A 15565-nucleotide genomic window follows, 5' to 3' on the forward strand; every position below is an offset into this window, starting at 1 on the left:
GCGGGGCACCTCTCTTCCCAGACTCCAAGAGGACTTTGGGGCCAGGCAATGGGGTTGGCTGTGCTTTCAGGAAAATCCAGAGCAGCGCTGCCCAAAGGAAATACAGTGTGAGCCCTATACCCGACCTTACATTTCCTAGAATCCAAGCTTTAGAACTTTAAAAATAAGGGTGAAATTAATTTTAATAATATATTTTATTGGTCTCAATAGATCCAACATTATTTTCACAGGTACCCTTTATGGGAATTATGTGTGAAATATTTTACCTTTTTTTCTTGTGTTGACTGCTAAATTGGGCATGTATTTTACACTTTCAGAGCATCTCAGTTTGAGCGTGGGCGTTCCCAGTGTTCATTAGCCACACAGCCAGTGGCCTCTGTGCCGGGCAACATGAAGTCAGTGCTCAGGGGACTGAGAAGGTAGCAGTTGGGCCTCAGGGGCTGCTGGGCTCCCTCTGGTACCCCTTATCTCTGGTATTTGATTTTCGAGGCCCCTGACGGCGATCCCTTGCAAATCCTTCCAAGGAGGCTGGGCTGCGTGTGCGTTCATGTGTGGTTGTGGTTAGAGGCTGGGTCCATGCGTCTGCGAATGGGGAACAGTGCCTTCAGGAAGTCATAGCCCGGATCAGAGAGCAAGGCAGACACCACGGCTATGATGCTGGCCATGGTCCAGAGAGCTGAAAAAAATTCCCATCAGCTCTGAGTGAATGCCTGGGGGGCTGCGGGAATGGAGCTGGGTTGAGGTCTGGAGTCCTTAAATCATGGAATCTTCCAGAACAAAATCTCCCCATGTTGCATCAGTTAGTGAAAGCCCTGGATAGTCCAGCCTTGAAGTATCTTTAGGGAGAAAATGGGAGGAGAAATGGTTTCACCTCGTTTTGAATGGAAAGTTAATTGCTTTTTGGAAAGTTGTTTTCAGCCAGATGAGGACCACACAGAGGAAAAATAAAACACACACACACACACATTGCCCGCGGATGGGAGTTTAGCCAACAGTGACAATAGCCGTCTGCTTCTCCGAGTCTGATGGACACTGAGGGCAACCCGAGGCAGGGCCATTGTTTACCCTGACAGCTTAACAGCAGGCTTGAAGGGAGGGGAGGCTGCAATGGCAGTGGGGAGCTGTGAACACTTAATCCGTCACAGAAACTTCGAGGGAATCAGGCGCCGTGGAGCCCAGACCGGCCAAACCCTTAATTGTTGGGCAATTCGCTGTCTTGGCTGCCCTCAACTGAACCTGTTAGATACCAGCACAGCACATCGGGCAAGGACCTGCCGTGTGGGAGGGCCCTCGGGAGGGTGTGGACACCTTGTTCCTCGGGAGACATGGGACATATGATGGATATTCACCTGTCCACTGTACTTGTCTCATTTATTCAAATTAACTGGTGCCCAGAGCTGGAAAGAAATGAATCTGGACTCAGACAAAGATGAATTGCAGTAAAAATGGAAATTACAATTCAGAAAACTAATATCGTCAGGCCACTGGGATTTTATTAGCTAATCCGGGCTATGATATTGGACTTCTGAAAATGTTGCTTTGATTAAATTTTTGCCTTGTATCCACAAGGACTTGTCAGGATATGTGTCTAGCGATGCGGGGAAGGAGTAGCACAGCCTGTGAGGAGCTGCTAACACCCTTTTCCTTTTCTCGTGTTTTTGTTTTGTTGCCCAAGTACATCAACTTCTTGAAGCTGACAATGCTTGAAGTCGTATTAGACCCAAAATGACAAGCCACCACATAAGACCACGGTCAAGCATTATTCAGATTTCTCAGGATGGCTACCCATCTTGTAGCTGGTATTGGGGTACTGTAGGCCCCCGGGCAGTGAGCGTGCAGCGTGTGAAAGGAAACAGCATGGCCGTTAACTTGGGATGCTCTTGCAGCTCCCCGCATCCTTATCTTGTGCATTCTCTGAATTGCTGATATTCAGCTTTTTCCCTTGACTATGTCTTTAGCACCTTGACTCCTTGACTCAGGTCATCCACCACAAGCTCTGGCCACTCCATCCTCACCACCCCTATGGCATCAGAACTGACCCTGACCTACACCCCCGCTGTGTCTCTAGGGAGGATCTTGCCAGCCCAGGCTCCTAAGCCTGCAGTATCCAAATCGTGTCCTTCTGAATTCGGTGAGGGGGTATCAAACCATTCCCTGCAGAGTCTCTGTACCTGAGATCCTCCAGCACAAGTTGTGTCTTTCAATTTCTTTCCAGGGCTTCCCAGGAAGTAGACTCTGCTAGAAACCCATTGTCTAAGTAGCAATGTAGATATTTAGGGAGCAGTGCCGGGAGCAACCCTCAACCACTGAGGAAGGAAGACAATAGATGATGGCCCCTTAGCCTGAATCCCTGGAGGGGTCCTTCCAAGGGTCTCAGGCAGGATTGAGTTCTCTCTGTCCTTGGTGAGCATCTTAGTAACATACACTTATATTGTCTTTCTTTCCTCTTCTCACTCCCTCAGGTCTTTTGCTCTAGTTCCCTGGGATCATCTCCATGAAAATCTAGATGCTCATAAGTGCTTTACTTCAGGGGCTTTTATGGAGGAGTCAGGGGATAGAGAGGCAAGCCCGCCATCTGCTAAGTCCCAAGTCTCACCAAGAGTGTGAAAAACAATGATAGCACTTAATTATTGCCCACTTCCAAGATGTCAGGTACTGTGCAAAGTGCTTTGTAGGCATTATTTTATTTAATTCTCACAAATATTTTACATGGTAAACACTATTTTATCCCCATTTTACAGGTGAGGAGACTGAGACTGAATCAACGGAGAAGCAGAGGAACTTGCCCAACCAGGTTCCATGGCTCAGACTTGGTAAAACTGGAATTTAATTCAAGCAGGCAGAATTTGGTCTGACCACGGAAAACATGGCCTCCACAATTAGTTAATTAATTTTTTAAAGATAAATGAATTTCCTTTGTACTGCTTGAACTTATGAGGCTTTCAGTTATCTGGGAATGATGGACCAAAAAAACAAACCAACCAAACAACGACGGGAGTTACAAGGAACACTGTTGCCTTGAAATGCTGAGCAGGTCTCTGAGACTCTGTAATTCAACCTTCTGCCTGAAGATAGCAAGGATCAGAAAACAAGGGTGGCAGTGGAGCTACATTAATTTGAAGGAAGGGTTGGCCCATTCAGTGCCCTTAGTCTTGTCATTTTTTAGGATAATTAGAAATGGATTGAAACCCAGAGAGCCCAGACTCCCCGCAGGACGTGTGCTTCCTTCTCAGGCAGCATATTAAAGGCCCTCCTGCATTCTTTCCATGTAATTTGATAATGCTGATAAAATCATTTATCATCCTGTGAGCTGCACTGACTATCTTATTAGAAAATATAACTGGAGGCTCTGAATGTGGCTGATCCTGACATGCTTTAATTAGGGCTTAAAAAATATGGGCATGGGTTTCTGTTGCAAGGTGGGGACGTAACTCGTGAGCGTTTAACTCCTACCTCCCCTTACTCACATGCATGATCAAAGAAACGTGAGAAAAGGAAAAGTTCTGTATCTTCACTGGAAAATAGAAAGGCTGCCATCAACAGGCTGAAAATGATGAGGAATTTCTGCAGATCAGAGGGACTAAGATGTCTATAACATAACAAAGCAGAATTCTCACTGGACACCCCCAAATCCTGGAACGGTTCTGTCTTCTTTAAAGTCTATGGTTGCACTGCAACGTGTCTCAGAGTTTCACCTTAGGATCACTGCGGTGCAGTCATCTGATTACAATGATGACTAACCTCAGGAGTACGGCCTTCCATGCCAGAATCCTTGGAGGTTGCTCAGGAATCTGCATTTGCCTGAAGTTCCCCAGGGATTCTATGCACAGACAGGGCAGCCTCAGCAACGCGATACACAGATTTTCGTATCGTAAGGTGACGTAAAATGCCAGGCTTTGAACACACACGTTTGCAGAAGAAAGACTGCCAGAGGCCAAAGCTACTCATTTTGAGCTTTTCCATTTCATTCTCATAGTGGCCAACAGACATGGTGGCCATTTAAAAGATTTCTGGGCTTCCCTGAAATGCTGTTTCCCTTCCTGCTGAGGTTCTCCTACCCCCAGAAATTGACAAAAGCCTGCACACACTCCTGTCTGTCCTCTCTCGCGCGGGCCATCTTACCTGTGGTGTGGATGACAAGCACAGCTGCCAGGCCATTCCCGGCTTGTCTCTCGGCTCACCCTCCCACCGCTAATCACCTCCCCTCACCAGTGCCAGAAAAACCCATCTGAAAGGCAAATCTCTTGTAGCACACAGGGAGAATCAGAGAAGCAGGAAGGAACAAAGTGCCCTGTAACTCCCTTTACACTTCTTTGTTGACTTGTCCGGAATGAATTGAGGAAAGTCCCATCGCTGTTTGGTTGGTTTGGTTTTTTTGGTCCATCATTCCCAGATAACTGAAAGCCCTCCAGCTGCATGTAGTTCCAAGATCAGTCTCATTTTAATAATTAAAAAATCCTGTAAGTTGTCATGTCAAAACTTTGAATGGTTTCCATCCAGTTGAGAGCATCTTCCCTCTCTCCAGCCCCCAGCTTCTGGCTTCCAGGGCTGAAGAGAAGTGAGCAGCTGATGACCCGCCTCTTCCACCTCTGGCATGGCCTGGGCCTGCTGTCAGAACTGTCCCGCGGGAGGGTCTGATAGTGCAGGGGCTTGGTGCTTACTGTTCTGGGCAATGCCTTTGCTAGTGCATGGACTTGGTGCTTATTGTTCTGGACAATGCCTTTGGAAATTTTCAGAGCTCTGTCTCAGGTCTTGGGTTCAGGACAAAGTCGCCTACTTCTTATCAAAACCCAGCACCGCTTCCTTTCCTCCTCGGGCTAAACCCAGTATGTCCTTCTACCCTGTCCCCCCCATTGCCAGAGCCTCGCCCAAGGTCTTCAGGCCCTTGTCCTGTACCTGCTACTCTGTCACTTGCTGTTTCCTCTGGGTGGAACGCTTCCTGCATCTCTGGCCCCTGGCTGGCCACTCCCATCTGGCCACGTCCCATTTATCTTCCAGGCCTCTGTTAGATGTCCCTTCCTTGAGGAGGCTGCCCACCTGGACAAATGCCCTCCAGTGTGTCCTGAGGACCCCATAATCCCCATCATAATGCTCCTCATGTTATAGCCACTGAGTCTCTCCTGTGCAGAACTGTAGGATCGTTGCCAAGCACAGAATCATAATAAGTACCTAAAAAATAATTGCCAAAAGAATGAATTAAAGACACGATTCTACAGCCTTGAGCAGCAGCACCAGGCAGGCAAGCCGTCATTCAGCCTGTCTCAATAGGCCTATGTGGAGCTGTGTCAGTGGCCTTACAGGAGCTCCTGCGGTCCATTCTGGCAAGTGTTGATTTACAGGTTTGCTTTTCCAAAAGTTAGTGAGCCCTCTAACGAGTCTGCGTCTTGTTCATCTTAGTAGAGGTATCACTCATGATAGTGCCCTGGGGTCTCTAAGGATTTGCTGAAAGAATAAATGGATGGATGGATTAATGGAAGGGAGGGGGAAAGGAAGGGAGGGAGGAAGGGAAGGAAGAAGGGTAGAAGGAAGGGAGCGAAGGACGAACAGATGAATGGACGGAAGGATGGATGGATGAAGGAATGAGTAAGTGCAAATAGAAATCTGATCTGGGAGCATGCGGCCCATTTCTCTGTGTTAGGACTCAAGTCCTGTGTTGGGTTGAAAATTTTATGTTTTTAATAGGTTGTATTTTATGTTAGTTTCTTCTGCATTAATCCTTACTCCAAAATAAAGGTATGTATGATTTCTCTGAATCCATCTAGTCATTTATTCATTCAACACACATGGGGTGAGGTCTGCCTCAGGGTTCCTGCCATTTCCCTGGAGAAACTGAGCACTAACCATTAAGAAAGCTTAGCTCTGGCTTAAATTTGTATCAGGCTTTCTCTGTAGAATAAAATTCAGGATAAGCATCATCTAGAGTGCCTTGTAATTCATCAACAAAGAAATAGTTTTTAAAAGAGTGACTTATGGTAACAGAGCATATTTTATTGTTATTTTCATTGTTTTTGTTTTTAAGAAAGCATAATGTACAATTTTTCCATTTTGTAGTTTATTAACTCATCTTAGTTCTATTTTTCCAGTATGTTTGTATGTATGTCTCTCTCTCATCCATCCACCTCTATCTGTCTGTCTATCAATCAATCATCTTTAGACTGCTTATTCTCATGTTTCTACATATCTTGTTCTTTTATATCTTGCATACAATATTCACACATATATAACAGTTCTCTAAATATAGAGTACTATATTGAAAAGTATAAAGTATATGAATAAAGCATACCACATATGTACCTGGCGTTTTCATGTGTGAATAATGAAATTTTGCTAATTAGCCAATTCTAGTGATCATAGATATAGGTCTCCGATTATTTGGGTGCTTCTATTTTTAGCTCATGTTTAAGTTTTTGGACACACATGAATGTCCTCTGGGCCTGCGTGAAGAGGTGCACTGTCAAGGCGGGTCTGATCCAGGAATGGCAAAACATGCCCCTCCCCAGCCTGGCAGCGCTTCCACGGTGACTTGAGATGATGTATGGCCACGCACGGGCTTGTTATGGCACATCCCTTGATAAGTCTGTGTAATTAATTGGATGCCATCTGATGCGGCAGCAGGTTAGACATTTAAGAAATAAAAAGTTGTCCATGCCCCACGGAGCACATCTGTTTAATGGCATAATTCAAATTAATTTCCAACGATTCCATAAGAGCTCATGGCACTGTTCCACGACTTTCTGCCTGATGGCCTCTCGGGTGCTGCAGGCAGGCTCCGGAGTGCCATTCAGTCTGGCAGCTCTTGAGTCTGGTCACATGACGCATGTCTTTCTTAAACTCTTATTTTTAAATAACTACACGCCTACAAAAAAATGGTGAAAACAGTACCCAGAGTTTCTAAATTCCTTTCCCCAACTCCCTCAAATGTTCAGATCATTATACTATAATGATCAAAACCAGAGTCTTATGATCAATACAACCCTATTAACTTGTATACAAACCTTATTTGAATTTTACCAGTTGTCCCCGAGATCATGTTTCTGCCTCAGGATCCAACCCAGGATCCCTCATTGCATGTATTTCTCATGTTCCTTTCTCATATTTAATTTGGAACAGTTCTTCCATCTTTCTTTGTCTTTTATGACCTCAGTGTTATTTTTAAGAGTACTGTTTCTGTTTTATTATTTTCTGTTTTATTATTATTATTGTTTGTTTCTGTTTTATTATTATTATTTTTAAAATAGACTGTGCCTCAAATTGGGTTTTTCTGTGTTTTCTAGTTAGGTTAAGATGATGTACTTTTGGGGCCGGGTGTGGTGGCTCATGCCTGTAATCCCAGCACTTTGGGAGGGCAAGGCCGGCGGATCATTTGAGGTCAGGAGTTCAAGACAGCCTGGCCAACACGGTGAAACCCCATCTCTACTAAAAGCACAAAAATTAGCCGGGCGTGGTGGTGCATGCCTGTAATTCCAGTTACTCAAGAGGCTGAGGCAGTAGAATCGCTTGAACCTGGGAGGCAGAGCTTGCAGTGAGCCAAGATCCTGCCACTGCACTCCAGCCTGGGCAACAGAGCAAGACTCCATCTCAAAAAATAATAATAATAATAAATAAATAAATAATTAAAAAAAGATGATGTACTTTTGGCAAGAATGCCACAGAAATGATACTGTGACCTTCTCAATGCACCATAACAGGAGATACGTGATGTGGCTATGTCTCATTACTGATCATTACTTGGTTAAGGTGGTATCTGCCAGATTTCTCCACAGTTACTATTTTCCCCTTGGTTTTTTTGTTTGTTTGTTTTGTTTTGTTTTGTTTTGTTTTGAGATGGAGTCTTGCTCTGTCACCCAGACTGGAGTGCAGTGGCACAATCTCAGCTCACTGTAAGCTCTGCCTCCCGGGTTCATGCCATTCTCCTGCCTCAGCCTCCTGAGTAGCTGGGACTACAGGCACCTGCCACCACGCCCAGCTACTTTTTTTATTTTATTTTATATTTTTAGTAGAGACGGGGTCTCATTGTGTTAGCCAGGATGGTCTTGATCTCCTGACCTCGTGATCCGCCCGCCTCGGCCTCTGAAAGTGCTGGGATTACAAGCGTGAGCTACCGTGCATGGCCTCCCCTTTGTGTTTATTAAGTATCTTATGGGGAGATGATTCAAAACTATGCAAATATCCTGTCTTTTATTATCCTTTTTGCCTACTCAGCATCTATCGATGATTCTTGCCTATGACAATTACTACTGTGATGTTGCGAAAGGATCATTTTCTATTTCTACTTTCTACTCCTTCTACACTGGTTAATTGGAACTCTCCTGTAAGGATGAGCTTAGTTACATCAAATTACTTCTTTGTATCACTATGAAAGGAAAGCTATTTCTTTCATTCTGTGGGTTATAATTCACTGATGTCATTATTTATTTTATTGCTCAAATCGTCCCAGATTTGTCTATTGAAAATGCCTTCTTCTTGTTTGGTTGGTTTTCGTTTTGTTACAAGCCTCCATCATTTTTTCAGCACTTGCATGCAGCATATCTTAAAATCCCCAGTTCTGTGACTGGCACTATTATAGGTCTAACGGAAATTAAGATGAGGCAATGTGGCATTCTCCTGACATTTAAACTGAGTCAGATAACAATGTCCCTAAATATAATATCATTATCATTTCTTATTTTATTTATTTATTTATTTTTTTGAGAAGGAGTCTCGCTCTGTCGCCCAGGCTGGAGTGCAGTGGCACGATCTCGGCTCAATGCAAGCTCTGCCTCCCAGGTTCACGCCATTCTCCTGCCTCAGCCTCCTGAGTAGCTGGGACTACAGGCACCCCCCACCATGCCTGGCTAATTTTTTGTATTTTTAGTAGAGACGGGGTTTCACCATGTTAGCCAGGATGGTCTTGATCTCCTGACCTCGTGATCCACCCGCCTCAGCCTCCCAAAGTGCTGGGATTACAGGCGTGAGCCACCGTGCCCAGCCATTTCTTATTTTTAAACAAAGTTTATTTATGTATTTATTTTTGAGACAGGGCCTTACTGTGCCACCCGGGCTAGAGTGCAGTGGTGCGATCCCAGCTCATTGCAGCCTCAACCTTCTGGGCTCCAGAGATCTTTCCACCTCAGCCTCCCTAGTAGCTGGGATTACAGGTGCATACCACCACACCTGGCTAATTTTCTGTATTTTTTTTTTTCGTAGAGACACGGTTTCAATATGTTGCCCAGGCTGATCTCAAACCCCTGGGCTCAAGAAGCCGAGGCAATCCACCTGTGTTGGCCTCCTGAAGGGCTGGGATTATAGGCGTGAGCCACTGTGCCCAGCAAATAATATCATTATAATTTATTATTAAGTAATTACTTTTTCATAGCTGGAAAGATTTTCTATTGTTGCCCCACTTTGAGTAAAATGGATTCCAGGCCAAAGCTTATTTTCACATCCTTTGTATTCCCAGAGCCTTGTGGAGTGCCTTCTACATGGTGGACCCTCAGTACACGTGCACTAAGGGTGTGGACAACTGAATGAGGCAGTCAGTAAGGGAAGGAGAATGTGGGATGTGGGGGCCAGACTGTTGGTTATCAAACCCCAGCTTCCCCTCTTCAGCATGCACATATATTGCTTGGGATCTTGTTCAAGGGCAGCTTCTGATTCAGTGGGTATGGCTGGGGCCCCGGATCGTGCATTCCCAACAGACCCTCAGGAGATGTGGATCCTGCTTGTTGAGAACCACACTTTGGATGGCAGGACGCCAGGGCTCACATCTACTACCTGCTAACCGGGCAACTTGCCTGAGTCATTTGCCCTCTTTCAACCTTGGTTTTCTCATCTGTAAAATGGGAACCATCATAGTTGCACCTCCCTCTGAAGATTGTTACCAAAAATAAGAAAGATTGTGCACGTGCTTGGCATTTAGTAAGCGCTGATTGATGCTTATATGTTGACACTTGTTTAGTTGGCAACAATAAAGAATTGTTGTTTTGGTGACTGTTTGCTTCTCTAAACAGTGGTTCTAATGAGCCCTTCTCCATCTTCCTTCAGATATTCCTCATGTCCTGGAATTTGGGGGCTCACCACTGAATCCTGGGGAAGCAGTTGACAGAGAGCCTGTCTGAGCATGAGGACCTCCAGTTCCCAGGTGAGCACCTGCTTGGAACCACAGGCACAAATCCGCAGGCATGGATGCTGATGGAAAGCAAGGTGAGAGGGAGTCAGAGGGAAAGGAGTACATACTTGTTGTGTTTGCCTCTTTCCTTGATGGCTTGAGGGACAGCTTGGCAATGAGACTGGAGAAGAATGGGAGCTTGCAAAGCAGGCGGATTCCCTTCGCTCCGCTAGTCGGTGGCGGGTTCCACAGCTGTGCGTGGTGGGGGTTCTCCCTACTGCAGACTCAGGGGGGAAGGGGCAGCCACTGGGCCATCACTGTGTCCAGAATTGGGGCTCCTTCTCTCTGGCAGAACACAAGCTGTTTACTGAGAAGAACAGAGAAAAAACGGTAGTGGGTGTTGGTGGACCTGCCCATACCTGGTTTTTAACAGGTGCTTCACACGTGGGGGCAGGTTAGGATAGAGTGCTCACATCATAGATGCTGTGCCCCAAGTGGAGTAGCCTACACACTGCCTCTTGGTCTTCAGTGCCCCACGGAAGGAGTAACTAGAGCAACCACTCAGCAGAGGAGGACATTCTGGCTCCGAGAAGGTGAGGAATGTCTGAAGTCACACCTGCCATTCTTGTCTGAAAGTGGCAGAGCCAAGATTCATCTGATTTCATCAGGTCCCCAGAGCCTGCTCCTTTGACCACACTAGCCGCCACATGAGGTAAGATGTCCATGTCTGTACCTGTGTCCTCCAGGACACAGAGCAGATGCGGCATAGTGCAGGACGTCTGAGGTGAGCTGTTGTAGCAACATCGCCAGCGGGAAATCCATCCTCACAATGCCCCTGAGCCCTCTGGTGAGCTGCTTTTGGAAAGTGTGACCCACCCCATCCAGGCTGCAAGGCACGCGCTGTTACGCATGTGTGGGCTTAATTATCAACATTGTTCTAGGCCAGGAGGGACACCCGTCTGCAAGGAGTGAGCTCTCCATTTGATTCCACTTGATATGATTTCCTCAGACCTCAGAGCAGCTCTTCACTGGCAACCCTCTCCCTCTTGTGTGTGCCCCTTAATTGGGCTCTGAAGAACACAAGTGTTCCCCCCAATGGACCCGTGACCCTTGTGGACAGAAGGACATAGCCTGAATTAGTGTTGCCACCACTGGAGGGGCCCAAGGACCACAGGGAGAGGTGTCTACAGGAGGTTTACCCAAAAGCTTCAAAGATGTAGTAGACAGCAGGGGAGAGACAAACATGCCCTCATTTTTTTATTGAGCAAATATAGGCAGGGGTTCAGCAATGAAGAAGGCAGATGAGGCCCTGGACTCATGGAGTTTATGTTTTGGGGTTGGTCAGGCAATTATTAAATAGAAGTATAGTTGCAATACAAATATAGAACAGGATGACCTAACAGAGGAGTTGGAGGGGTTGGAGTAGGAGTCAGGGAGAGCATTTCTTAGGATGTGACATTTAAACCTGACTAGTGTCCCCAGAGGTGGCTGACCATGGGCATCTAAGGAGCGGGCCACTGCCTGCAGAGATTGGATTCAGGGCTAAGTGTGAGCCAGCCTGGTGTGCTCAGGCTCTCCTGGTGCTCTCATAGATGATGCATTCACCTGGCGCCTGTCCCCATTCTGCCTGTCCACCTGATAGATCTCCATCCTCTGTTAGGCAAAGACGATGTGGCCAGTGTGAAGGACAAAGGCCTGTGGGTCACACAGAGGTGGGTTCACTTACTGCCTCCATCACTCCTTTTTTGGGTGACCTTGGACGAGTGGCTTACTTGTCTCTCTTAGACTCAGTTTTCTTATTTGTAAAATGGGAAGAATATCATCTTGCATAAACGTGAAGAATATAATGATACAGATAACTTAGCACAATGCCTAGTATACGAATCACACTGAATAAATATACGCGTGTACATACCGTGATGCCCTCATATGCTCATTACATGTGCATTTATATGTGTTGAATATACACGTGCACCTAATGCCTCACACACGTCTATGCACACGCATGCCGACACACTTCTTGAACCACAGATTCAATTAGAATTTATGACGGAAACAAGACACAGGAAACAAACAATCATTAAAATCTGATCATTTCTTGCTTCCGCTTAAGGCTGTTTTCCTGAGCCATCTGGGAACAATTTATTGAAGCTATAATTGTGCATTAAATATTGCGATTTGTTCCAGACTTTGTCTATGAAATGAACGATATAGAGATTTATTGTCTAGTCAGCAAATCGGACGGCCCTGCAGCTCTTCCTCCTGACATAATTTTCCTTGTCCCCACACTCGCTCCCCTCTTTCAGGATCCCATCACAAAAGTACATGCTGTGTCTCAATGATGGCATCAAATACACATGCAGGAGAAAGAGGATGGCAGGAGCGAAGGCCCTCTATGCTTAGCGACAGTGAAGGTGACGGGGGACGACGTCTGCTGAGAAAGACATTTCTCTTTATCAGGTTGAGGGTTCTTGGGCCCCTGAGTACCATGTAGCTCCCTCCTGGGGACAGAGGAGGGTGGACAGTGCATGGACCTGCCATAGGAGAGTGTCACCTCGCACAGCCTGGTGCCCGAGAGCTGGGGACTGTGCCCGCAGCTCTGTGTGGCTGCACTGTGGGGAAACGTGATGGTGAGATGGAGCAGAAACGGAGCTGATCCCTTGGTGGTGAGGTTTCTGTCCAGGACCAGTTGCTGTCAGTCATGTGTCTGAGGTTCCCTCCAAACAACTGTTTTTTGTTGTTTTGTTTGTTTGTTTGTGTTTTTGACAGAGTCTCGCTCTGTTACCCAGGCTGAAGTGCAGTGGCACTATCTTGGCTCACTGCAACCTCCGCCTCTTGGGTTCAAATGATTCCCCTGCCTCAGCCTCCCGAGTGGCTGGAATTACAGGCACCCACCGCCACGCCTGGCAAATTTTTGTATTTTTATTGGAGATGGGGTTTCACCATGTTGGCCAGTATGGTCTCAAACTCCTGACCTGAAGTAATCTGCCCGCCTTGGCCTCCCAAAATGTTGAGATTACAGGCGTGAGCCACTGCCCCCGGCCCACACACAACTGTTTTTTTTCAACCCTGAATTAGAATTTAAGCAAGGAACAAAGGGAAAATTGTCAATGCTGAAAAACTGGAAAAGCAAATGGGTTGAGGCTGCACACGGTGGCTCAGGCCTGTAATCCCAACACTTGGGAGGCTGAGGCAGGAGGATGGATTGAGCCCAGAATTTTGAGACCAACCTGGGCAACATAGCGAGAATCTGTCTTTACAAAAAATTAAAAAATTAGCCAGGCATGGTGGCAGGCACCCGTACTTCCAGCTACTCTAGCGGCTGAGGTGGGAGGATCGCTTGAGCCCAGGTGATGGAGGCTGCCATGAGCGGTGATCACACCATTGCTCGCCAGCCTGTGTGACAGAGCGAGACTCTGTCTCTACTAAAAATTTTAAAAGTTAGCTGGGCGTGGTGGTGCATGCCTGCAGTCCCAGCTAGTTGGGAGGATCAACGTCTCTTCACTACAGCCTGGGTGACAGAGTGAGAACCCATCTCAAAAAGTAAAAATAAAAAAAGGGTAGAGTCGCCAAAGCTTGGGGAAAAGAGAGCACAGAGAAGGAAAGTAATATTTGCTGAGCATCTACTATGTGCAAGGAGCTTTAGATGATATTTTCATGCAGTGCAACTGATACTCACTTTACACGTGTGCACGCCAGTGTCCTGAGGATCCAAGGAACTTGCTCTAGTTTCCACAACTAGCAAGTCCCAGAGAGAGATTCTAACCTCAGCTACCTGGATCCAAGCTGGGCCGTGTTCTCTCTTCCAAGGGTTTGGCTCGATGCTGGGCGGTGTCCAGGGTGGGACGGGTCTCTGGGGCATCCCCTACCTCACTGCTGTCACCCCACCTGCCTTTTCATGTCTTGGCTGCCCGGTGCCATTGTCCCCTATGTGAGGGTCTCCCTCTCCCTGACACCGGATCCTGCATGAGAGGCAGTTCGTTCCCCTCCCTGAGAAGCTTGGCTCAATGCCCATGTACATTTGGGGCGAGTTAGAGATCACACAGTGTCCGGTGAAAGGTGGAATAAATAAATGAGTGACTGACCATGGCCCTCCCGATCTTTCGTAGATTTCTGTTTTGCGTCACTGGCCTAGGCAAGCACTTAATAGTTAAACGGTTTCTCCACTCCCAGCCGGTTTTTGTTTTCTTTCTTCTTTGTTTTCTTTCCTTTCCTCTCCCACCCACCCCATTTGTTGTGGTGCCTACTTTGAACTTGTCATCAGCAATGGTGAATTCAGGAATAAAAGGCGACAGAAGCACAGGAATTGGCACTTCTCTGTGTCCCTGGGCAGCGCATGGCCTGGTTGTTCTGCTGTGACCTTTGGCCTATGACACCAGGATGAGGATAAACAGGTATACACAGTCCCTGCGGCCTTTGTGAACAGAGGGCGTTTGCAAAAGACAGTTGTGTGCTGTTTCTTTCTGAGTAACTTCCGTGGAGTCCCACTGCCCTGGAGAAAGAGGACAGGATGTGAGGGTCTGTGCAGCAAGTGGGCAGAAGGCAGCACCTGCTCCTCATTGTCAAAATCTGAGAAGGACTTGGAACTGGAAGAAAAACAAACCCCTGGGGACGGATTGGAACCAGGGCTAGGAAGGAGCTGCAGCTGGTGGGCGGGAGAGGTGGCAGGATGGGTAGCCAGGGCCTGGATTGTTGCTCCCTCAGCACGTGCTGGCCTCAGTGCAGGGAGGACTTGTTGCAGGCTCAGAGACAGATTTCCACCTGCAGGATCTTGGCAGACCCACTCAAGGCCTGCTCTGCTCCTTTCCCACCTGCCTGGACGAGGCGTCTCAAAGCTGCTGGAATCTCCGAGATGGGCAGAAGCCCATGGGCTGGGGCAATGCGTTTCTACTGCGCTTTGTCTCAAATGCTGAGTGGATGATGCTGCTTGGTGTCTGGGGAGCATGTGTAAACCTCAAACTTTTCTAAACCCTGGCTTTGTCGTGGCAGCCTTGTGGAACCGTGCAATCATAGCGTACCATTTCTGTAATGAGAACCATTTCCCGAATATTAAGCTGGGCGCAGATCGCGTATCTTAACAGGGAAGAGAAGAATCTCTCAATTTTGTTAAATAAATATATTTAACAAGAGTTTAGGTATATAAACACATAGAGGCACACATGTCTATGAGTGTTTGTATGTATGTATATATACCTGTGTGGGGAAAACACTCTAGAAAGCAACATATCACAAAGTTAAACAACTTTACCCTTGGTGGCAGTTGTTTTCCCTTTATTTTCCATTTTCAAAATTGTCTAAAATAAAAGAAGCAAATATGGTCAAAACGAACTATCAGAAAGAGGATATTAAATTGAAAAACATTATAAATATGCTTTAGATTGTTTTTTGAGGGTGGTGTGTTAGATTCCTTGAGTTCCAATCCTGTTTTCCCCACAGAGTCCACCAATGCATGATCTTGGATTTCCCAGTGCCTCAGCT

Source organism: Homo sapiens, chromosome 2 (genome assembly GCF_000001405.40).
Source record: "Homo sapiens chromosome 2, GRCh38.p14 Primary Assembly".
NCBI lineage: Eukaryota > Metazoa > Chordata > Mammalia > Primates > Hominidae > Homo > Homo sapiens.